Here is a 24,925-nt window from a genome sequence, read left to right as displayed (position 1 = left end):
TCTCATCAGAGAATTTGATGTTATTTAGTTTCAAGTATTCAGTCTAGGTGTTCAATGAAACATAGGTTTAGATCAATGTTTCTCAAACCAGAATTTACAGACATACTTTCAGGGGCCCAAGAATTTGAGGGGAAATTTTGTGTTTTGATTTCTATGAAAATGTAAAGAAAACTCAAACACGCTCTTGATTATTGAGAAGATAAAATATATAACCTACTATTGTTCCTGATTTTAGGGCATTTGTTTATATTTATGTTCTTATTGGCTTTAAGTAACATTACTTTAACTGTCTTGTGCTAATGAGAGAAGAACAGAGGCAGAAAATCTTTCAAATGAAGACCAAATCATGTAAAACACATGATACAAATGAAGCTTTCAGAATAGTTACAGTAGATAAAAAAAAAAATACTAGCAAGTCAGCTTCAGAAAATGCAGGCTGAATGCTCAACAGCATGAACAGTAGCAGACAGGTCCACATTCACTTTGGCACAACAAATTATTAATAGTAGACGTCAGCCATATTATAGAACAATCTTTTTTTGTAATTTAGATTCTACTTGACAATAAAAGTGCTTTGGTTTTGAGTTACGAAAAAGCTCTAATCTTAAGGATCTTATTGAGTTTTTAATTTATACACTAAAAATGATTTAAACACTGGAGGACTGTGGTATATGTGTGTACATATGTATGTGAGGTGTATGGACAAATCTGAGAAATACTACCATTGTAGTGCAAAAGCAGCCATAAACAACACATAAACCAATGGGCATGCTGTCACCCAATAAAACTTACAAAAGCTGGTGCTTGGCTGGATTTGGCTCATAGGTCATAGCTAACTTATATCAGCTTTATAATAAAGACTTTAATCTGTTCAAATACTGTATCCTGATGCAGCTTCTAGGATGTTTCAGTAGTCTGAGATAAAAATTATGTATCATAGGGTTGGTTCACACTATAAAAGCTCTTTCCTTATGTTATCTGAAAGCAATCTGAAATAATTTATCTCCTGCTTATGTTATTTGAAAGCTATTTGAAAATAATTTGAAAAACCACCTTTCTCGATTGTTTTCTGATTCTCCCATTTCCTACCTTTACCAACTACCATCCTAATATCTTCTACCAAAGGGGTCAGCAAAGTATGGCCTGCAGGCCAAATCCACTGCCGCCTGTTTTTGTATATAAAGTTTTGTTGAAACAGCCATACTCTTTTGTTCATGTACGTTTCTGACTGCTTTCACACTGCCAGAGCAGAGTTGAATAGTTTCTGTAGAGAATGTATGTTGCATTAAGCCTAAAGTATGTACTATCTGGCCCTGTACAGTTTGCCAAACCCCTGTTCTACAGCATTCCCACCATAGGCTCTCCTACACACCATTGTAGTTGAAGTAGTAGCAGTAATTCGAAAGGACTAATTTTATGTAAATTAGCATTCTAATCAAGGCAAAGGCTTTATAAAAAGATAAGTGGAAATAGTAAAGCATATGACAATTTATTAAGAAGACCACTTGGTATTTTAACTCATAGAAATTATAGTTTAAAAAATTAAACTATAATTGTAATAGCCTTGTCAATCAATGGTCTAGTATATACATTTAATATACATCCAGTTACAGTAAAAAACTTTACTAAACATTAGTATCAATGGCGTTTTTACCATATTGAAACATTTGTTTTTATTATCAATTATATCGATTTTAATTAAAGTGTAGTGCATAAAATTATTTAAGCATTAAGGCTGATGATGCTTTATGCTTGGTTGTAATTTCCACTCATCTGTCAAAATGAACAGCCTACTGGCCAAGCCAGGGACTTCTACAGAAGAGGACAAAGGTAAAGGTAAGGTTTAAATGCCCCAAGTTATGACCTTTTTCTCACATTGATATAGATGTGAAGCTTAACATTCAGTAAAATGAGATCAGTCTTATTCACTATTTCTTCTGCAATATGAGTGCCAAGCTCTTAGGGGTGAGAAAGAGGACAGAAGACTGAAGAGTCCAGTGTGGGAAAATGTGCATGTGAAGGACAGGCTGATGACACCACAGTGAAAGGAGGAAACGAACTCTTAGTCTCAGTGCTCTCCACGTTCCCAAGAGTAAAAAGTCTACAGAGAGGATACACTAAATTGTCTGAGACAAGTTACACTAAGAAGATGTCAGCTTTATGCTTAGGCCATAGGGTCTCTTCTCATTGTACATTATTGAAGCAGTTTGCAACTGGCATTGCAAACAATTTTTTAACTTATAACACAGTTTCCAAGTTTGCACATGACTCAGAAATTCAAAGTTATTTTGTTTATAATATTTGTCTTACTCAATGAATTACTGAATTACTCAATGAATTACTGAATTACTCCATGCATTCCAAATGGAAATGAAGAAATAAGATGGAGTTATAGGTAGTCTGATAAAACATTTAAATGACCCACTGTTTATGTGGCTTTTAGTGAGCATATTATTGATGCACTATTAACTGTTACATTTTATTAATCACTAAAATGCTTTACTTCTCCACAAATTTTTTTAGTTTTCCTCAAAATGTGTAGAACAGGATCCTTGATCTGCCCCAAGGATCAATCTTCTTACTAGCACAGCTTAATGCAAACATTCATGCTATATAAATTCAACTGACCACTATAATACACCTGGACTAAAATGTAGTCCCACAGTGTTGGACTACAACACGGAGAAAGGTACTCCAAACTTACACATTTGCTATGGTCCGTTATTACTCTCATGGGACACTCTACCATACTCTACATGTAGTTCCAAGTTCTGTGATTTTTTGAAAAAACCTCTCAGCAGAGAATGTAACTTTATGTTAGACAAACATGACCACCACCACAAATATAATTTGCTTTTAATAACACTCCCAAGCTTTCTTCTTACCTGAACAAAATGACTAGGTGTTTCACTGCAAACTGAATGGATCTGTCCGTTTACTATTGGAATTATCTTAGCTAAAGGCAGGCTGACACTGGAAAGACTGAAAAATCATTACAGTAATGATTATTTTCTGAAATGACCCCACAGGACTTTAACATCTTAATTATAAAAGTAATACATAGCCATTGTAGAATATTTTTGGAAATCTATTAAAAAGGAAAAAAAACCCCACAATTCTATCGCTTAGAAATAACAACTCTAATTGACATCATGACCAATTTCTTTTGGCGTTTTTTTACACATATCTTTGTTTTTTTGTGTCTACCAAAAACCTCTAACCTCCTAAGCACACTGTTTTTGCATTTTTATTGTTATGAGTATTTTCCATCTTATTAAAAGTTCTAAAGTGTTTGTCTGATTGTTTTTTAATGACTATACAGTAATCTGTCCTCTAGCTGTGACAATTTATATCATGAGTTCCCTAGAGTTGGGCATTTCAGTTTTTGCCTAAATTTTCTTAATCTAAGTAAGATTTTGTATAAACATGAAATCACTGGGTCAAAGGGTATGAATGTATCTGCTCCATTATGCCTTCTTTCAACATCCAACATTATCCTTTTCTTTAATCTTTCACATCTGATAGGTGAAAATAGTATCTTACAGGTTAAATCTGCATTTCTCTTAATTACTAACAATGTTGAGTATTTCCCCCCTACTCCAGTGAACCACACCATTATCTATCAGGTTCTAGAAGCAGCAAATATGGGCATTATCCCTGGCACTTCTTTCTCTTGCCTATACCCAATCAGATATTCTAAAGATTTCTCAAAAGAAATCTTTTAATAATCTTAAAATCTTTTGAAAATCCTTGGCACTTCTTTCCCTTGCCTATATTCAAATAAGTGCCAAGAATTCTCCCCGTTGCCCAACAGATTCCAAGCTGAGCATTATCTCTTGCCTGGACTACAGCAATAACTTTTTAACTTGTTAGAGCACAATAAACATTTGTTGGATGCATAAATGAATACATGTATGTATCACTGTATGTATGTGATGCAATGACTTAAACAACAAGACTCATTTTTGCGTTGGGGTTGTAGATTTAGTCTTATTACATTAAATATGACATCTCATACATTTCAACCTAGGGCTACACTAAAAATTTCCTTTTAAATATCATGCAAGTGCTGAAGCTAGGGTGTACAACCAGTGTGCTATGCTGAGATTTGAGGCAATGCTTAAAAAAGAATAAAGGAAGTGGGAAGATTTATGTATTCCTGAGGGAAGCAGGCATTTTTTTTTTCATGGTACCTTTGTGGCATTTTTCAAAATCTATCATGATTTTGATTACTTGATTGCTCTGTCTCCCCTCACTATCATGCAAGCTCCATGAGGTTACACACCATGTCTATCTTATGCACTGTATTGTCCCAGCACATAGTAAAAGGTCTTGTGTACAGTGGACATCCAATACATACTTGTTGAATTGATTAATAAGTCTTCATTCATCCATTTGTCTGTCCTGCCCCAGTCCCTGTTTACCCAATTCCTTTTCCACAAACCAGTCAAAGAAATCATACAATGTAAATTCCATTACATCACTCTCCTGCTCAAAACTCTCCAGCAGCCTTCCAGTGTTCTCAGATGACAGCCATATCTGTATATGCTGCATTCTCCAGCTTTGTCTGACACCACTCTTGTTCTATGTATTCAGCTACCATGCCAGCCTCTTTATAAGTCTTAAAATGTACTTAGGTGGCTTCAAAACCTTTGCCCTGTAGCTTCTGCCCAGAATGTCAACTGTCCCACTGTAGTCTAGGGTCATATTTAATAGCTTCCAATCTTAGTAGTTCAAATTATTTCCTCAGGAAAACTGCTTGACTGTCTACTTTTGTTTAAATTTTTCTATTATACGTTCAGTGTTCTTCTCCTTTATAACACTTCTCATAGTTTATACAATTATATTTACTATTTCCCCAATTAGATTGTAAGATCTATGGGAACAGAAACCTAATACAGTGCCTGATTCATAACACGTGTTCAATAAATCTTAGATTAACAAACTGGCCATTTCCATCTGCTCTTTTGTGAATTATCTGTGTCTTTGATGCACATTTTCTAAGAAAGAAAATTTTTCTTTCCTTAGGTGTTTGCTTCCTTAACTGATGTGCAAAAGTTCTGTATATAATGTCATTACACTCATGGATGATATATATACATAAAGAGAGCAAACATTTCCTCCTGTATATTATTTGCATTTAATATTGATGAAAAGCTTATAAAAAGCTTGTTTGATCTTGAAGTTTTAAAAATTATACAGTCAAACCTAGACTTCTTTTATATAAAGTTCTTTACTTTCATTCTTAGAAATACCTTCTCCATCTTGAGGTCACATAGTCACCTGTTTTCGATCAGTATATTTGTTTTTACTTAGTATATTTAAATGCTTAAACCTCCTGAATTTTATTAGTCATTGTAAAATGACTAATTGTTATTCGTCTTACCAACATATATTTTGCCCACAATCATTACTAACATCCTACAATTTTTAGGGCTACTTCTGGATTTTACATTCTATTTCACTGACTTACCTATTATTTTATGAGTAACAATAATTATACCTTATATTATATATTATATAGGAAAAGCATATCCATTGCTCTTCTTTTCCAATAACTGCTTAAACATTCTCATTCCATTATTCCTCCATATTACCTTTATTATCATTTGTCAGGTTTAAGATGAAAAAAATCAACCATCCTCCAATCTCCAATAGAATTTTGATAATATTTTGATTATATTTTAGATTAATTTTGGAAGGCTAATTTTACACTTTTTAGTTGACTCTCTTGGGTTTCTAAGTATAAAGTCTGTCCCCTTCATATAACAATAGCTTTTTCTTCTCCCTTTTCAAAATTGATATCATTTTTAAAGATAGCATGAGTTTAACTTAGAAAACCAACGGTCAACTAACAGTTTATTAAAATGGTAAGAACACTCAGTAAATTGTCTATTTTCTTTCTTTTTTCGCTATCCAACAGTAAAAGTTACCTATTTTCAAGATATAAGTATAGAAAAAAATCAACAGCTTTCCTTAATTGAATCTCAAAATTGGTCTTCTCCTAGCCTTACTCCATTAGATAGAATAATAGAATGATGCTGAATAATCTGTCAATAGTGACCATCTTTATACTGTTTTTGAACTTAATGGAAATCATTCCAGTTTTACTATTAAGTATATTTGCTTTTGATTTCAAATACTCTTTTTTTATATATTTTTTTAAGAGACAGGGTCTTATTCTGTCACTCAGACTGGAGTACAGTGGCATGATCATAGCTCACTGTGGCCTTGAACTCTGGGGCTCAAGCAATCCTCTTGGTGGTTTTAAAAATTTTTGTAGAGACAGGAGTCTTGCTATATTCCCCAGGCTGGTCTTGAATTCCTGCCTCAAGCAATCTTCCTGCCTTGGCCTCCAAAAGCATCAGGATTACAGAAGTGAGCTATCATACCTGACTCAAATATTATTTTATTATATAAAAATGTATTTTTTATTTCTAGTAAGAGGTTTTATCCATAATAAATGTTGTTTTATTGAATGTCTTTTCAGCAACACTGAAGATAATGTTTTTTATCTTATTAGCTTATTAATGTTATGGATTACCAAAATAGCTTTTCTAGTTTTAACCCTCCTTACATTCTTAAACCTTAATTAATCATAGTGTTGGAGAATAATTAAAAATTTGGAGAAAAATTTCTATCTCAGATAGACATTATTGAACAACTGGCTTTACCACTTGACCTGAAGTTATTTAATTTTTCTGTGTCTTAGTCTCCTCACCTGGAAAATGAAGAATACTAGTACGTATTTCCTAGGATTATTTTAAGAATTCAATGAGAGACATTCTGAAAAATACCTATCATCAAACTAGCACATGGAAAAAGTATTAGCTGCTATTATTATTGTAATATACTTCTGGATTTCATTTTGCACTTTTGACTTTTAAATATCCATTATACATTATATTACATGCATATGTAATACATATAATACATTAATACATATATGTTGCATATATATTTTATATATATATATATATATATAAATTAAAGCCTTTATTAGTTTACCTCATTTTTCAGTTGATTCTCTTCAGAGGTCTGGCTTATTAATTATAATACACGTAAATAATATACTTTGTGTCTTTGCCAATAGTTAAAAACCTTACTTCTTTTTTTGGGGGGGCAGGGGGGTCTCACTCCCTCGCCCAGGATGAAGTGCAGTAGCACAATCACAGCTCATTGCAGCCTTGACTTCCCGGGCTCAGGTGATTTTCTCACCTCAGCCTTCCAATTAGCTGGGACTACAGGCATGTGCCGCATGCCCAGCTAATTTTTGTATTTGTTGTAGAGATAGGGTCTCTCCCTATGTTTCCCAGGCTGGTCTTGAACTCCTGGGCTCGTGCAATCCACCCACCTCAGCCTCCCAAGGTGCTGGGATTACAGGCCTTAGCCATTTGTTTTTTCTTGACTTACTATGATGGCTAGACTTTCACAACACATTAAACAATGATGACAATAGGCTTGATGGAAATGTTTCTAGGGTTCAATCATGGAGCATGAAGTTGGTTATTGAGATGAAACAGAAAAACTTATATAGAAAATATCTACTGAGTGCCTTGTATGAGTAAAGAGACATGAAAGGGCACAAGATAGTTTTTGACTTTTGAGAGGAGGCTTAAAATGTAACTGAGGAATAAAACTCCAATTCAAGGTAGCACATGTAGGTTGTACATGAAAGTACAGATAATGATTACTATAGTTCAGAAAAGAAACACTATCATGGCTGTTGTGGCTGTAGTATAATTTTTACAATTCTTCAGTGTACAAAATCAAGTATTTATGTTAAAATAACCATTACAATTATGTATCACTACTTGCAAAATAACGAATATCTTGCTATATACAGATTATGGTGAAATTTTACTAATTGGAGCACCTTGATTTATACAGTATATAGGATTGGTCTTGAGCTGAAATTTATTTTTGTATAACTTAAAATTTTTTTAAAGATTTTATGTTGATATTTAAATTACTTCAGAGAATATACTTTATGGCTGTAAGCATTCCAAATGCTTAATGTCAATGTCAAATTAATCTTTTCTCTACAATAAAGAAGGGTCTCAGAGAATCTGGTAAGTAACTTCTGGCCCTATGTATTTAAGAATTAAATTGGATATTGCACATACATATTGCCTATCAATTACTGTGTCCCCAATTAAAAAAAAAATTTTAAAGCTACTTCAAAGGATGTGTCTCAAATTTTAATGAATGAGTTTACAGTCAGTCAACATTAATTTAGTACCCATTATTTTCCGAGTTTGACATAAAAAACTGCAAAATAGAAATCCTTAAAGAGTATAAATTCTAATATGAGACCAAAGATATTTGTGTTGGGATAACAAAGATATAAAAAACCGTAAGATACCTTATGGCATACATAAGTCCATGATTTAGTAATAGTTATGATTAAAATCACTAACAATTGCACTAATACATGTTCCTAATTCTGTAATAAGGACTGGAATGAATACATTTAAGCATTTGTAGAACTATAAGGAGCTAATTCATCAAATGAGAATCTATACCAACAATGCCCGGGTATTATAAGGAACAAAATATTGAAATATGCAGACCAAAATGGCCTGCAGTAATGGAATAACATTAGAGAATGCATTAAAATTAAAACATATTGTGAGTTTTGTATTCTAAAGAGTTAAAAAAAAACAATAATTGGAATTCAACTTATAGAAAGGTAATTACAACTAAAGTACTTCAATATAGTGGCAAAGTTTCTGGAAGACTCCAAGTTTTAATACTGAAACCAAGAAGGAGCTTCTGCTAGTGAAGAAGTTGTTGGTTTAACAGAGTTTAATTTGTTAAAAAATGAGGCACTCAAATTTAATAGGTTTGTTGTTGTTATCTGGAACAAAAAGACAAGCAAAGCACCATTTTTTTAGAGCATTCATTAGTATAACATTTTTATATGTCATCTTACCTATTCATAGAGTTACCATGTTGCAGGTCCTGTTCAGTAGGTCGAAAGAACTCAGCCATATTGTCTAGAAGTCTACTAAAACCTCGGTTTAAACAGGTATTCAAAACTGTACTAAAATCTGGGCTATATAAAGTAAGAAGTATAAGTTACTTTTTAGACTCTGAATGGAAGAGAAAACAAATTCAGTAATAACGTGGTTACCTTTGAAAGCCACCAACATTTCTAGTCATAATCTAATACTGTAAAATATATCAAGAAATCAATCTTTAAAAAGTATTTAAAAATGAGCTTATTTAGCACAACATAATGAGAATATTCATCCACTTCAGATTTTTTATACTAGTCAGCACTTTGTACAATGAATTTTTTAAAAAATATCAGTACTAGTACTACTAATTTTGAGGAAACTCTTAAATTTCCTTATAGTCATAGATTAGTTGGCTTTACATCCTCTAGCATGATATTTCAGTGAGACAGAAAATATTATTGTGTACAGATGAGGAAATGATACTTGAGGGATGAAGAAGCTTGACGAAAGGCCTGTGATTAGTAAATTGGGGAGCTCAAACATGAGACCGGGGTTTTTTGATCTTAATTATACTCTCTTAGTTCCTCACAAAACTCTTTAATATAAAGAATAATATATAAAGATGCCAAGAAAGCTAGAAAATACCTAGTTATGTTCCAATTTCTTGACTACAGTGTGCATGTGTATGTGTGTATCTTTCTATCTACCTACCTTTTCTCCTTAGTCATCTCTATTTTAAAAGCATTTTAACGGCTTTATTGAAGTAGGACTTAGAGGGCATAAAATTCACCCATTTTAAATGCACAAGTCAATGATTTTGAGTAAATTTGCATAGTTGTGCAACTATCGCTACAATCCAATTTTAGAACATTTTCATCACCCACTAGGCCCATTTCCAGCCAATTCTCATCTCAGTCTTAGCCCCAGGTAACCATTAATCTACTTTTGGTCTATATAGTTTTCTGGACATTTCATAGAAACAGTCATACATATGTGGTCTTTTGTGTCTGGCTTCTTTCACTTAGCATGTTTTGAAGGTTCTTCTATGCTGTAGCATGTATCAGTGGTTTGCTCCCCTTTTTTGCTACATAGGGCTCCATTATATGAATACATCAGATTTTATCCTTTTGTTAGTTAATAGAAATCTGGACTGTTTCCACTTTTTGGCTATTGTGAATAATGCTGTTGTGAAAAATCTGAACAAGTTTTTGTCTAGAGATGTTTTCATTCTTTTTGGTAGATACCTAGGAGTGGAATTGCTGGGTTGCACGGTAATTTGGGCTGAACTTTATTCTTTTAAAGGTAATATGGTAAGGTTCCAAGAAGAAAAATGATTAAGGGGATGAAAGTTGAAGAAATGGAAACTGAAGAAAAGATCATCATAGTACCTACCTCCTAGGGTTACTGTAAGGTTTAAGTGAGTTAAGATAGATAAAGCAGTATAGAACAGTGCTTGCTGCATAAGCACTCAAAAATGTTAGTTTTTATTCTTATTATTGAATTGAATTCATTTAGGCCAATGAAAGAAATGAGAAATAGGTGAGCTTGCTTCCTATTTCACACACATAAAAATAGAAGCAAAGAGAACTTCCACATACTTGTCCCACCCATCTACCCACTTACATGCATCTGACCTATCCTCAGCCATCCCTACCTGACTCCTAAACTATTTTACTGTGTATTGAATCTCATTCCTTTCTCCTATTCAAAGTACTTTGTTCTTAAAATTAATGAGCTTTTCTACATCAATTTTTCCCTCTATCAATTCAGTAAATACTTATTGAGCATCTACTACATGCAAGGCACTGTTCTAAGAGCTGAAGATACATTGGTGAGCTAAACAGACAAAAATTACTCGTCTCATGGAGTTTAGTAGAAAGGTGTATATAAAAAAGTGTTAAAGTCAAAATCTCCTGGCTCCCACATTCCCCTTAAATACTGTCTATTTCTCAGAATCTCTCAAAGCAAAATGTTGCAACAGTTGTCTGTGCTTGGTCTCTGCTAAACTCTAATTCTTTTGAATTAGCTTATCTCCACTGCTCCTCTGAAACTTCTCAACAAGATCAATCAACAACTCCATCTAATGTTATTTCTCTGTCTTTATCTCCTTTGGCCTTTCAGGAGCATTAGACCCAATCAATCACAGTCTCCTTGAAACATTTCTTCAATTGTCTTCCAAAATACCTCATTCTTTTGGTGTTTCTTTTCTTTCGCTGGCAGCTCCTACTCAGTCTCCTTTGCTGGCTCTTCCCCCGATCCCAAACTCTAAATGTTGGACTGCTCTATGACTTAGTTGTCTTCTAGTCTCTATCTGTTCCTATTCCCATGTCTTTAAATACCATATACAAAGTGATGACTCCCAACATTATATTTGTAAACTAACTTGAATTCCAGACTTGCATATTCAATTGCCAATAGGCATATCCACTTGGATATGCTTAACACTGCCAAAATGTAAATGGCAGTTCCTATTTCCTCAAATGCTCAGCCCCAATACCTAGGAGTCATCCTTGCCTCCTCTTTCATAACCCACACTAAATAATTCCACAAGTACTACTGGTTCAACCTTAAAAATAAATCTATTATTTAGCCACTTGTTATTGCCACCACTGCTACCACCCAGTTCAAACTGCAACTGTCTCTTGATTAGACTACTTCAACTCTTGAAATTGGTTCCCTCCTTCTATTCTTATCTCTTTATAGTCAGCTTACCATAGAGCAATGAGATCTTTTATAAACACAGATGATGTCACTGCCCTGCTTAAAATTCTCCAATGGCTTCCCATACATTAAGAATAAAAAACAAATTTCCTATCATGGACTACAAGGTTCAACATACTCTGGAGTTTCCATCTATCTCTCCAATCTCACTTCCCTATTACTTTTCTCATTCACTGTGCTCCAGCCAACAATGGCCTCCTTGCTATTCCTTGAACAGGCCAAGCATTAGGATCACTGCAACTGTTCTTCTGCCTTGAACTGTATTCTTCTGGGTTACAAGGTTCACTTCCACAGTATATTCAGGTCTCTGCTCAAATGACATCTCCTCAAAGAGGCCTTTTCTGACCAACCTATTACAAACAGCATCCCTGGTCACTCTCTAACCCCTTACCCTGCTTTGTGTTTCATCAACAAAGTTATACATACTTGACATTACATCAAATTTATTAGTTGATTATTTTTCTCTCCCACTAACATACACATTCCAGTAGGGATGAAGACCTAGCATTTAGAACAGTACCTAATATACCACAGACAGCCAATACATAGTTGATGAATAATTCAATGAGATAAATGAATTAAGTGAATGAACAAATTATTTCTATCTATGAAGTGTAGAAATTTCAATCCAGACAAGCTCCTGAGGGTGGAGGACTAGGGCTATACATTTGGCTTTAACTACTAGCATAGTAAAGTAATGGGAGTATAAAACATTGCCTGGGAGGCAGTTGCCAATGAAGAAAGAACAAATACCTGGGAAACACTGATGGCCTTTTTTGTTTTGTTTTGTTTGTTTGAGACAGGATCTTACTCTGTTGCCCAGGCTGGAGTACAGTGGTGCAATCACGGCTCACCATAGCCTCAACCTGCCAGGGCTCAGGTGATCCTTCCACCTCAGCCTCCCAAGTAACTGGGACCACAGGTGTGCACCACCATGCCTGGCTAATTTTTTTTCTTTTGTTTAAGATGGGGTTTTTGCCATGTTACCCAGGCTGGTCTTGAACTCCTAGGCTCAAGCAATCTACCTGCCTCGGCCACTCAAAGTGCTGGGATTACAAGCATGAGCTGCTGCACCAGGTTGGAAACACTGATGTTTAAAGGAAAGACAGAGATAGAAAAATCTAAGAAATGATTTGAGAGGTGGGAGAAAAATATAGATTATACTGTCATGAAAGTCATGTGAGCAAAGAATTTCAAGAAAGGCAGTGTCAAATATCAGAGAAAGGTCAAGTAAGATGAACATTACAGGTTCATTGGATATGGCAAAAGATCACTGATGACCTTCTCCAGAGCTTCATGAAATGATGAGGTGGAAATCTGAATAACAAAAAAGTGGACAATCCTACTGAGGAAAAACAAAAGACTGGAACTCGATGAATTCAGATAGTAGAGTTAGTAGCTGAGTTACCCTAAGAAATCCCTGCTTCCCTCCAGTTTGAGTAGGAAATCTTATCTAAAGGCTGGGGAACAGAGTCAAAAATTTAATTTTAATATAATATTATACCGACCATGTTGTTCAAGAAAAACTAAAAAATAGTCTCAAGTACATTCAACATACACACATATTTTTCCTGCTACATGAAGTATACATACCTTTCCAACATGTCTCTAGTTTCATTGAGAAGTTTAATAGTGGTAATGTCTCGAGGAGAAAGTCCACAGGCCTATAGAATTAAAATGTCACACTTAAGGTTTTCAAACATTAGCACAGGGTTATGATGAAACTAATCACATTCATAAATAAAGAGTTTAGGAAATCTAAGTCTATGTTCTATCAACAATAAAAAAAGTTAGACCCTCCCCCACCAAAATAAAAACCTGTAATGGTTTATGTGTGCAAATAAGTAGAATTTAAGACATGAGTAAAAGTAAAATTATACTTAGTAAGAGCTCTGTTTATCTGGCCCTTCTTGGATAGATTTCTAGTATAGTCAGACAAAGAAGAAATAGGTTTTGAGTTTGCAGAGGTCTGGGTTTTTTTTTTTTTTTTTGAGACGGAGTCTCGCTCTGTCGCCCAGGCTGGAGTGCAATGGCATGATCTTGGCTCCCTGAAACCTCTGCCTCCGAGGTTCAAGTGATTCTCCTGCCTCAACCTCCTGAGTAGCTGGGATTACAAGCGTGCGCCACCACGACCGGCTAAGTTTGTATTTTTATTTGTATTTTTAGTAGAGACAGGGTTTCACCATATTGGTCAGACTGGTCTCGAACTCCTGACCTCGTGATCCGCCTGCCTCGGCCTCCCAAAGTGCTGGGATTACAGGCGTGCACCACCGCACCCGGCCTTTTTTTTTAATTTAATTTTACTATTATTATTTTTTTGAGAAAGGGTCTCACTCTGTCATCCAGACTGGAGTGCAGTGGCATGATCATAGCTTAGGCAACCTCGAACTCGTGGGCTCAAGTGATCCTCCTGCCTCAGCTTCCTAAGTAGTAGTTAGGACTACAGGCATGGGCCACCATACTAATTTTTCATTTTTTTTTTTTTTGTAGGGGTAGGGTCTTGTTATGCTTCCCAGGCTGGTCTCAAATTCCTGGCCTCAAGCCATCCTCTTGCCTTGGCCTCCCAAAGCATTTTTTTTTTAAGAGACAGATTGGTGTTGCCCAGTCTGGAGTGCAATGGTGCAACCATAGCACACCACGGACTCGAACTGCTGAGCTTAAAAAATCCTTCCTCCTCAGCCTCCTGAGTAGCTGGGACTATAGCCATGCACCACTATGCCCATCTGACTGATTTTTTTAATTTTAATTTTTAGAGACAGGATCTCGCTATGTTGCCCAGGCTGGTCCTGAACTCCTGGACCCAAGTGATCCTCCCCGTCAACCTCCTATGCTTTTTTCTTTTATCAGTAAGAGATTTTATCAGGATATGTGTGTGTCTTTTTTCATCAATCTAGTCTGAGACTCTATGTGTCCTTTCAATCTTAAATTTCAGGTTTTAATTCAGTTCAGTAAGATCTGGTCCATCATTTCTCTCTTCATCTGTTCTTTTGTTTTCTTTTTGGTCCTGTTTTGAATTTTGAAAACTGTAAATTACTTTAGAGTCCTAAAAAGATTTCTTAATACTCTTATTGCGTCTCCTTGAGATTCTATTTTGTAAGTTGTCTCCTGTTTCATTAATTCTGTTCCATCTGTTCTGTTTGATCAGTTTAGTCTCTATCTTTCAAGTTACAGGGTTTCCTTAAATGGGATGCAACTTTTTTTTTGGCCTACTCATGAATGTAGGATCTCTCAGCACCCAAACAGGTTCATCTTTGTCTCTGGCAATGGGAAATCCTGCAGGCAATGAAAACAAGGCATTCTGTTCTAACAGGGCCTCTCTGCTGAGGTATGGCATAGGGGGCCTCTCTGTTCTAAGGCTTTTCCAGTTGTCAAGTAAGAGCTGTTCTCCCAATTACAAAGAATGAGTGCAAACCAGCAGACAAACGAAAAATTACTAATTTAGGAAATGAGCCATAACCTGCAATCTGGCATTTCTATTATTTTTAATCAATGAATAACTTACGTAACAACTACCCAGGACACACCAGTGTTTAGCAACACTATAGTTGATAATTTTTGGATTAGACATTGTTTCTCAAGTGGATGACTATAACCTCCTCAGTCCATTTTTGTACTTTCATCATTAACTTTTTTAAAAAGCAAAGGTGATTGTGTTATTGGACTGGTTAAAATCTACCTTTCTTTGTCTACAAATTGGAGTTCAGACTCGTTATCTTGGCATATAAAGCTCTTTATAATCTTGCCCTGACCTTCAGCTCTATGTTCTGCTACTTGATCTGATACAAAAATACGCTGCAGCCCACCAATTGAATTTGTATCTTCAGTTCCCCAGGTGTAATGAACATGTCTTACACATTTTACATCTCCAGAATACATCACAGTATCTACTGTCACATACCTGATAATAAAAATGTACTGAATATCTAAAATTGTTAAGTGCTTCTTACTAGAAATCACTCATAATGGCTGTTTTTCTAAATTAATGGGTTTTACTTCAATTACTGAAATATATGCTTTTCAATCACTTACCTTTCAAGAGACTCAGAAATCAAAATTTCAAGAGAGTAAAATTTTAAAAGAATAGAGTAACTGGTTTGGTTAAATGGTTATGAATTAAGCACCTGCACTGCTAATGGAGTTTCTTCATCTGGCATCATATAATGGCATAATAAAGGTTTGGATCCATCTTTATTAATCCAAGAAGAAGACTTATGCTGCTCAACGAGATTTCTGATTTCTTTTAGTTTTTGCTCCAAGTCCAAAAGGGACAAAGAATGTTTAAGAGAAACACTAGAAACAGAGAAAAGGGAATTGGGATAAATAGAAACTATACAACACATCCTATATACACTCTTTTCTTAACAGGCTACTATCTAAAATCCTGTTTCTTCTGCTTACACCTGTAACTGCTGACTGGAATAGAATGGATTACGAAATCAGCCACTAGTTAAGGGCCATTACTACAGAGCCAAGAAAAGTATTTCTCTGGATTCCATAAGAGAATTCCTACTGTAATTATAGATATTACTAGTATAAATGGGAGGTAAAAGCCTCAGAGGCAGATTTTAAAGTAGGTCTTTTATCTCATGACCCAAATATTTCTGATTTGTATGAAATCAATCAATTAACAATGAAACATTAAAACTTTCCCCTCTGTATAAAAAAAAAGATAAAGAAAATGGATCCCACAATGCAATATCCTAGGATGGTATCTGATTTTATTACAAAGAGTTTCACAAATCACCGTTTGTCAAGTCACTGGTTTCACTAGAACAATTCTAATTTTCTTTCACTCATTAGAATCAAGAAGTCAGAAAAGTCAAAGAAAAATGCCTTACCTTCCTAAAACCTTCTGCACAGCTTGTTTAATGACAGTGATCAATTCTGTCAGGCCTATTAAAGAAAAAACAAACCTAAAAGCCTTGCTTAGTTTAAAAATTCCTCAATAATAAAAATAAATGAATTAAAATTAGTATAAAAGTCACAAATAAGAATCTTACCATCTCCAAGTAGGTGCTGAATACTTGATAAATACTGCTGTTGGACATCTGGGGGAGCAAGAATTGTCTGTATAAAACAGAAATACAGTTCAATTATCCAAGTTTTAAACTGGTAAATAAGAAATGTTTTCAATAAAACTTTGGCTGAGATTTTTCAAGATCTGAAATGACGGGAAAAATAGTAATTTTTAACACACCAAAAATTCTAGTTTCAACATATAAAAATTATTCATAATACTAAAAGTTCACAATCACATGAAATATAAAAATATTTATTTCATAGAAATTGTTATCAGGATAAATAAGTTAAACTTTGAACCTCCTGAGGGAAAGAACAATGTCTATTTAAGTCTATTAAACTTACAGTGCCATTTTTGCCAACTGCTGCATTATCCAGGTAAATATATCCACCAATTATGTTTAACTGGACCCGCAAAAGAACAACCAGCATACAGGTACTGTATACAGCCACAGTACTTCTTGTGAAACCTTCACAGAGAAAAGAAAAGCATTTGGTACTGTGATTAATACAAATGTGTAAAATCATGAACCATCCTAAGGTTATTTTTTTGTAAGATGACTTTTAAAAACATATTTACAACTGTTTCTAGTATAAAAATATATCAATTCAAAATATTTCAGTCTCTCCTCACAATTGTTTAATAAAAATTAGGTATGATCCCTTAATTGAAACAATAACCAATGAAATATATTAGGTGAAAGAGGTATATACTATTAGCTTAGAAAGGAAAACAAGGAAAAGTCTGGGAAGCACAAAGAATTGTAGCTTCAGAACTCTTAGTTGTCAATGGAGCTATTTTCAAGTAAGAGAAGAAGGCTGAGTGTGGAAGAACTCTAGCCTTCAATGGCAGCCCGAGGAGGATGAGCCTGTTTAAGGACTACAGGAAAGTACAGAAAGACTGGGGAAGCCTGGTAAGACAGGCCTCCCAGTAGCTTAGGACAGGGTGTTCAAAACAGAGGAGAGAGTGAAGGTGTTGACTGCTGCCGAGAGTCCTAGCAGAAGGAAAATGTCCAGCAGATCTGGTAACACAGAAGTTGTTACTGACGCTTGAGAGACCTGCTTAGGTGAAGACACAGGTGTGGAAGCCAGGCTGCAGGGCTGTAGTACATCAAAGCGTGAGGGAGTGAAGAGAAGAAAGGGAATGTAGAAATCTTGGTCATAAGGATTATAAGAAAGCATAGGCTAGGCACGGTGGCTTATGCCTGTAATCCCAGCACTTTGGGAGGCCGAGGCGGGCGGATCACAAGGTCAAGAGATTGAGACCATCCTGGCCAACATGGTAAAACCCTGTCTCTACCAAAAATACAAAAATTAGCTGGGCATGGCAGCACGCACCTGTAGAGCCAGCTACTCGGGAGGCTAAGGCAAGAGAATCGCTTGAACCCAGGAGGTGGAGGTTGCAGTGAGCCAAGATTGCACCACTGCACTCTACCCTGGCAACAGAGCAAGACTCCATCTCCCCTCACCCCCCAGAAAAGGAAGTATAAAAGCTGAAAGGAACTACAGGGAACTAGAAAGGTTTGTTTTCAAATAGGCAAGGCTTAGCTGAAATTGGATCCCTTTCTCACACCTTATACAAAAATTAATTCAAGATGGATTAAAGACTTAAATGTTAGACCTAAAACCATAAAAACCCCAGAAGAAAACCTAGGCAATACCATTCAGGACATTGGCATGGGCAAGGACTTCATGACTAAAACACCAAAAGCAATGGCAACAAAAGCCAAAATGGACAAATGGCATCTAATTAAACTAAAGAGCTTCTGCACAGCAAAAGAAACTACCATGAGAGTGAACAGGCAACCTACAGAATGGGAGAAAATTTTTACAATCTACCCATCTGACAAAGGGCTATCATCCAGAATCTACAAAGAACTTAAACAAATTTACAAGAAAAAATCAAACAACCCCATCAAAAAGTGGGCAAAGGATATGAACAGACACTTCTCAAAAGCAGACATTTATGCAGCCAACAGACACATGAAAAAATGCTCATCATCACTGCCCATCAGAGAAACGCAAATCAAAACCACAATGAGATATCATCTCACACCAGTTAGAATGGCGATCATTAAAAAGTCAGGAAACAACAGGTGCTGGAAAAGATGTGGAGAAATAGGAACACTTTTACACTGTTGGTGGGACTGTAAACTAGTTCAACCATTGTGGAAGACAGTGTGGTGATACCTCAAGGATCTAGAACTAGAAATACCATTTGACCCAGCCATCCCATTACTGGGTATATACCTAAAGGATTATAAATCATGCTGCTATAAAGACACATGCACACATATGTTTATTGCAGCACTATTCACAATAGCAAAGACTTGGAATTCAACCCAAATGTCCATCAATGATAGACTGGATTAAGAAAATGTGGCACATATACACCAAGGAATACTATGCAGCCCCAAAAAAGGACGAGTTCATGTCCTTTTGTAGGGACATGGATGAAGCTGGAAACCATCATTCTGAGCAAACTATTGCAAGGACAGAAAACCAAACACCACATGTTCTCACTCATAGGTGGGAATTGAACAATGAGAACACTTGAACACAGGGTGGGGAACATCACACACTGGGGCCTGTCGACACTGGGGCCTGTCGTGGGGTGGGGGGGGGGGGGATAGCATTAGGAGATATACCTAATGTAAATGACGAGTTAATGGGTGCAGCACACCAACATGGCACATGTATACATATGTAACAAACCTGCAGGTTGTGCACATGTACCCCAGAACTTAAAGTATAATAAAAATGAAAACAACAACAACAACAACAACAAAAAACAAATAGGCAAGGCTTAAGCATCATTCTGCTGACAAGGATTAGCTGAATGGATGGGAAAACAGGATAACAGTTCTGAGACAAGCAGATACGTAGGCCCTAGTTTAGCTTTTTGTTTCAATTTTTTATCACTAACAAAAATTTACAATACAATATCAAAGTAAATCTATGATCTGGATTGGAATAAAAACTTCCTTTAAAGCACATTAGAGATATCAGTACCTAATAAAGGCATATGTAGTCTAGGACAATTTTACCTACCATCATCATCATAATAACAATAGCATTACCACTAACATTTACTGAATGCTTTCTATGACCAGACATTGATCTATTTGCTTTACCTGTACTATATTATTTAATACTAACAACAATTCTAAAAGGCAGGTAAAGAAGAGTCATCCTAATAGAATGCAAACATTTCCCTTTATAAATATTTTAAGGATGTGCTGTCACACAGAATATGCAGGCTTACTTATTATCTTCAGATCCTCCCATATTTCTAGCTTGTTTGAAGGCCTAAAGAACAAAATTTAAAAATATGAAAATAATAATCTAGATAATCTAATAGAAAACTCTGAATTTTATAGATCTATTTTTACTTTTTAAAAAAAATTAAAAGCAACACAGCATAACTGCAGAAAAGCAAGCCCACAAAATACGGTAAAAAAAAATTTTAATTCCAGTAATCAATAACAACCACTTTAACTGGTATATATTCTTACAATCTTTTTCTCCTTGAGTGTTATGTATAGATAGATTACAAAATCATATAGGAAATGCAGAGGAAATATTTCTTTCTTTTCCCTAACTTGCTGTTTTAGAAATAATGAAGTAGGTCCTATAATCCTTCAAAGGTAAATATGAAGTTTTTTTTGTTTTACGATCATAAACACATGAATTTACACATATATTTCATGTGTATCAATCCACTGTAGTTATTATCTCTATCGATGTTCAAACTGCCCATCTTTCACTTCTGGAAGACTATTCACATTGCCTCCTGAATCCTTTTGATTTGTATAATCTTTTATTAGTCTTTTATAGTATCTACAGTTTCTGACATGAAAACTTATTCTGGGTTCATCTCATTTAATTCTTGCTGCAGACTTGATATCACCAATTTCACTGGGTCCTGTTTTCTCATAGCAGGAAATGGTAGAGACCAAAACCTTCGATGCAGAATGTTCATTGCTACTGGGTAGGTCATTATTTCTAAGATTTTTTCAGTGAACTAAGCTAATAAATGTTTATTTATTTATTTATTTATATGTGCATATGATCAAAAAGGTAATATACATCATGAATTCATACTGATATTTCTAAATTAGTCAAAATTTAGAAAATTAGTCTAAAATTAGTCAAAAGGTTTTTAACTTAATCTCATTGATCTTACATCTGTGTTTCTTTTTGTCCACATAAAAAATAGGTGAAAGCAACATAATTACTAATTTGTTTCATCCCTCACTCTATACACAACAGTCTCAGTGTAAAAGAGTTTAAGGTTTCTGTTTTTCCAATTCTTTGTGTGTGAAGAGTATATATCCTACTAAGGATATACATGAAATTTCTGTTTCAAAGTAATTTAGCACAGTTTCTGTCTTTGTAGTTACACTACCAACAAGAATCATATTTAGGTTAATTTGATTTATGGTACTATATATTTTTGGACATTATTTTTTAAACACTATAGTTTTATAATATTAAATATTTATATGGTTCCCAAGTCAAATTTATATAATACAGTATATTCAAAAAAGTCTGTTCCTAACCCCCTTCATTTTCTCCCTTCTTCATAGATGACGACTTAAAAAATGCTTAAACTTTCCATTGTTTTGCTTTATATAAGTGAATATGTATATATACATTTATATCTGCCCCCTTAGATAAGTGAAAAATATTATACACATTTTTCTTTACCTTTTTAAAAATATAGCAATATATCTTGTGGAAATCATTCCATAGTACTACAGTAGTCCCTTCTTATCCTTGGGGGATACGTTTGAAGACCCTCGGTAGATGCCTGAAACTGAAGATAGTACCAACCCCTACATATACTATGTTTTATCCTATACATATATACCTATGTTAAAGTTTAATTTATAAACTAGGCAGTGTAAAAAATTAACAACAATAACTCACAATAAAATAGCACAACCGTAATATGCCAGCATCATTACTCTGGCACTTTGGGGCCATTATTAAGTAAAATAAAGGTTCCTTAAAAACAAAGCACTGCAATACCTCAACATCCAATCTGATGGCCAAGATGGCTACTAAGTGACTAACAGGTAGATAGCATCTACAGCATGGATCCGCTGGACAAAGGGAGATTTCTTCATGTTATTCACAATGGCACACAACTGAAAGCTTAGGAATTGTTTATTTCTGGAATTTTCCATTTAATATTTTTAGACCATGGTTGTCATGGCTAACTGAAACCTTGGAAAGTGAAACCATGGATAAGGTGGATGGGACTATTGTATACAGATGGTAGCCACTTTTCTCTTCTAACCAACGTGTAGTACACCATTGTATGGATGTACTATGTGGAGGTAGTTTAGTGCTTTTCAAACCACTAGTGGAAGGATCCATTTTTTTTCCTTTTCCTTTCCAATCTGTCACAGAGCAGCACTTTTGTTAAATACAATAAAAATAAATTACTAGAAAACATGAAATAAAAAAAACCACAGATATAGAAAACACAAGTCCATATTCTTTATTATTACTTTCAGACATAAATTTGCATTCCAACAAGAAATTGAGTTACTATTACAATTTTAAAGATACTACTAGCTTCTTGTCTTTCTTTGCCAATGAGCAGACTCTATAGTTTCAGTTACCTCTTTCCTAGATGGCACAGGTTCAGAAAATGTGTTGAGTAACTCATGCAAGACACTGCTGCAACCTTAATCTAATCTAGTGTTCAAGACTCACGGCAGAATGTCATATGTATTCGGATTAAACTGGGAATCAACCACAATTCAAAGGTGAGGTATTTAATGTATCCTAAGTGACTCATATCTCTTTTTGAATGCTCCCTCAGAAAAATTTCTAAGTACTTCTTATAAAAATTCTAAAAGAAAAAAGATAAGAAAACAGTGGTTCCGAAAATTTCAATATAGAAAGTGCTTAGTAGTGAGCCATGATTGTGCCACTGTACTCCAGCTTGGGCGACAGAGTAAGACTCTATCTAAAAAAAAACCAAAACCAAACGAACAAAAAACTGTATTTTATTTGGGATGATTTTGGTGGGAGAAGACAGTAATAGTTACCCAGGACATTTCTTCATGTTTACACTTAACATTATTAGACCTTAAAAGTAGATTTTTAAATACTGATGCTATTTTTTTTTAAAAAACTCCAAAATCTACATAAAAGATTCCAAATCTATGTAGAACAGAGAAAAGTACCTTCAACACAAATATTCCTTTCAAATGATTTGTTTGATGGAAATCAACTGCAAGTTAAATACAACCAGACTCTTTAATGTCACTAAAATACCTTCATGGAGAAATAAAAAGTAAAGAGAATTAAACGAATCTTTTCGAAGTGTTCTACTTCTCTTATGATGGAGGATGTTTAAGATTTTTTTGTTTTTGCCATTGAAACTTCATTGCCATTATCAGTCTTCAAGAAGAGTGCCAAATATCAAAAACAGTGATAACTGTTTATTTGCTGTTATGAAGTTGGCAAAATAAGACTATCAAATCATCTACTTATTTCTCATTAGTTATTATCTTAGTTATTATCACAAATAGTTTAAAGAAAAAAAAACTTGCTCAACAGGCTTATATGAGACCAGAGTCTCATATAAAATTAATATAAAAGCAGTCATAAGATTGGAGGCCTTATTTAATGATACTTTGTAAGGGATCAAGCCCTTATTTATGCAAATATTTTTCAAATGGATATTACCCTTCTCCCCCCACCAAATTACAAATAGTAATTTCAAATCAAAAGAAAGCCAAGAAGAAGTAACATTGAGATATTTAAAGAGGAAACTGAATGAGGAGAACTGTGGCCCACCTTAAATTCTCCAGAATTTAAGAAATTCTCCTCCCTGTGTACCGATTAAGAAAAAAAGAATCACATCTTTTCTTTAAAGCTGTCCAGGATAATCTATCAAAATTAATCCTTTGGTTTTTTTGATACTCCTAAATTTTCCTTTTACTTTTTGTCATTGCACTAAATATGTCCGGAATTACGATAATTTATTTAGTCTACTTCCTCCTTTGGATGAAAAGGTCTTAAAGAGACTTGATCTTAACTATTAAATCCCCTAAAGCACATGGAACATAGGGCCTTGCAGGAAACAGATTCACCAAGAAGGAAGAATGCCACCACGATTATTTTATCTGTATTATGTTGCTTGTATAAAAATGCTATTCACTTATTTAACTTGTCTTGCCTTCTCATCATGACAAAAAGGAAATTAAAATCTACTTCTTTTCAATTCCTACCTATGTACACACAAATGGTAATTATTTATTTGATCAAAAGCAATCTGCTTATATGTTTCTTCTTCATAAAACTGTATGAACTAATTTATAAGCTAAACCTTATATCTGTAAGAAGGAAGGAAGGTCTGTCTACCTCTAAGAATGAAGAAATTTAAAATGGAAAACCCCCATCACTAGCATTCTGTTTTAATCAGATAAAAGAAATCTCAAGTACACAAATCCACTGTTATTTTGGGAAGTATTCTCTGAATATAGTAAGTGTTTTTAAAAAAATTCCCCACTTGTTATGTAGCCTGTCTGAGCACTCAATTCCTACTGCAAAATGAATAATAGTAACCGCCTCACAGGGATATTGTGTAAATTAAGTGGGAGCATATATGGAAGGTACCTAGCACCAGGGCTAGCACAGTGAGACAGTTTAGAAATAGAACTACTTTTCCCCTGGCTATTTGAAGGGTGATTAAAGGCAAGTGATTATTTTAGGAAGGCCACAATGATTAACATTTATTTAGTGAAACCATTTCCCTGCCCACCCTCCCATCATTGTCATCAAAATAAGAAGCCATTTCCTGCTGGAAGTCTTCTCAAACTAATACAGTATCATACCAAATTACAATACCCCAACACATGCTACATGCAATATACAAGGTTACATATGTGAAAGTGCTTTTGGAAACAGCAAACTGCCATGGCAATGTAAATTATTAGTATTGCATGCTCATGTTATGTTTGTATTTCATTTTGTTAGTAATTTAAGATATAAGTCCTGTATATCTTATTTATTTAAAACGTATGTTCACATGCTGTATTACACCGTAAGCTCTTTCAGAAAGAAGCACAATATTTAACGTAACTTTGTTAGCTTCACAGCATCTGGTTCAGGAACACATTTCACAAGCACTGCATAATTAAATTTGTGAACAATTTCAAAGTGCTATAAGGTCTATTTATATGAAAAACAATACATAC

The 24,925-nt window shown here is 34.7% G+C and overlaps 1 protein-coding gene across 1 annotated transcript in view; it reads right to left on the bottom strand.

The window, feature by feature from the left end:
• Positions 1–24,925, bottom strand: part of PEX3 (peroxisomal biogenesis factor 3) — a 39,812-nt gene that overhangs the window by 2,483 nt on the left and 12,404 nt on the right. The window contains exons 4-11 of the mRNA NM_003630.3: positions 19,969–20,012; positions 17,049–17,173; positions 16,685–16,751; positions 16,523–16,577; positions 15,806–15,974; positions 13,278–13,348; positions 8,936–9,058; positions 2,886–2,982 (exon numbers count right to left, since the gene is read on the bottom strand). Coding sequence (NP_003621.1) covers positions 2,886–2,982; positions 8,936–9,058; positions 13,278–13,348; positions 15,806–15,974; positions 16,523–16,577; positions 16,685–16,751; positions 17,049–17,173; positions 19,969–20,012 — 751 coding nt within the window. The remainder of the gene's footprint in view (positions 1–2,885; positions 2,983–8,935; positions 9,059–13,277; positions 13,349–15,805; positions 15,975–16,522; positions 16,578–16,684; positions 16,752–17,048; positions 17,174–19,968; positions 20,013–24,925) is intronic.

Source organism: Homo sapiens, chromosome 6 (assembly GCF_000001405.40).
Source record: "Homo sapiens chromosome 6, GRCh38.p14 Primary Assembly".
Taxonomy (NCBI): Eukaryota; Metazoa; Chordata; class Mammalia; order Primates; family Hominidae; genus Homo; species Homo sapiens.
The sequence above is the reverse complement of the archived record's forward strand: the minus strand, read 5'-3'. Positions and strand labels throughout refer to the sequence as shown.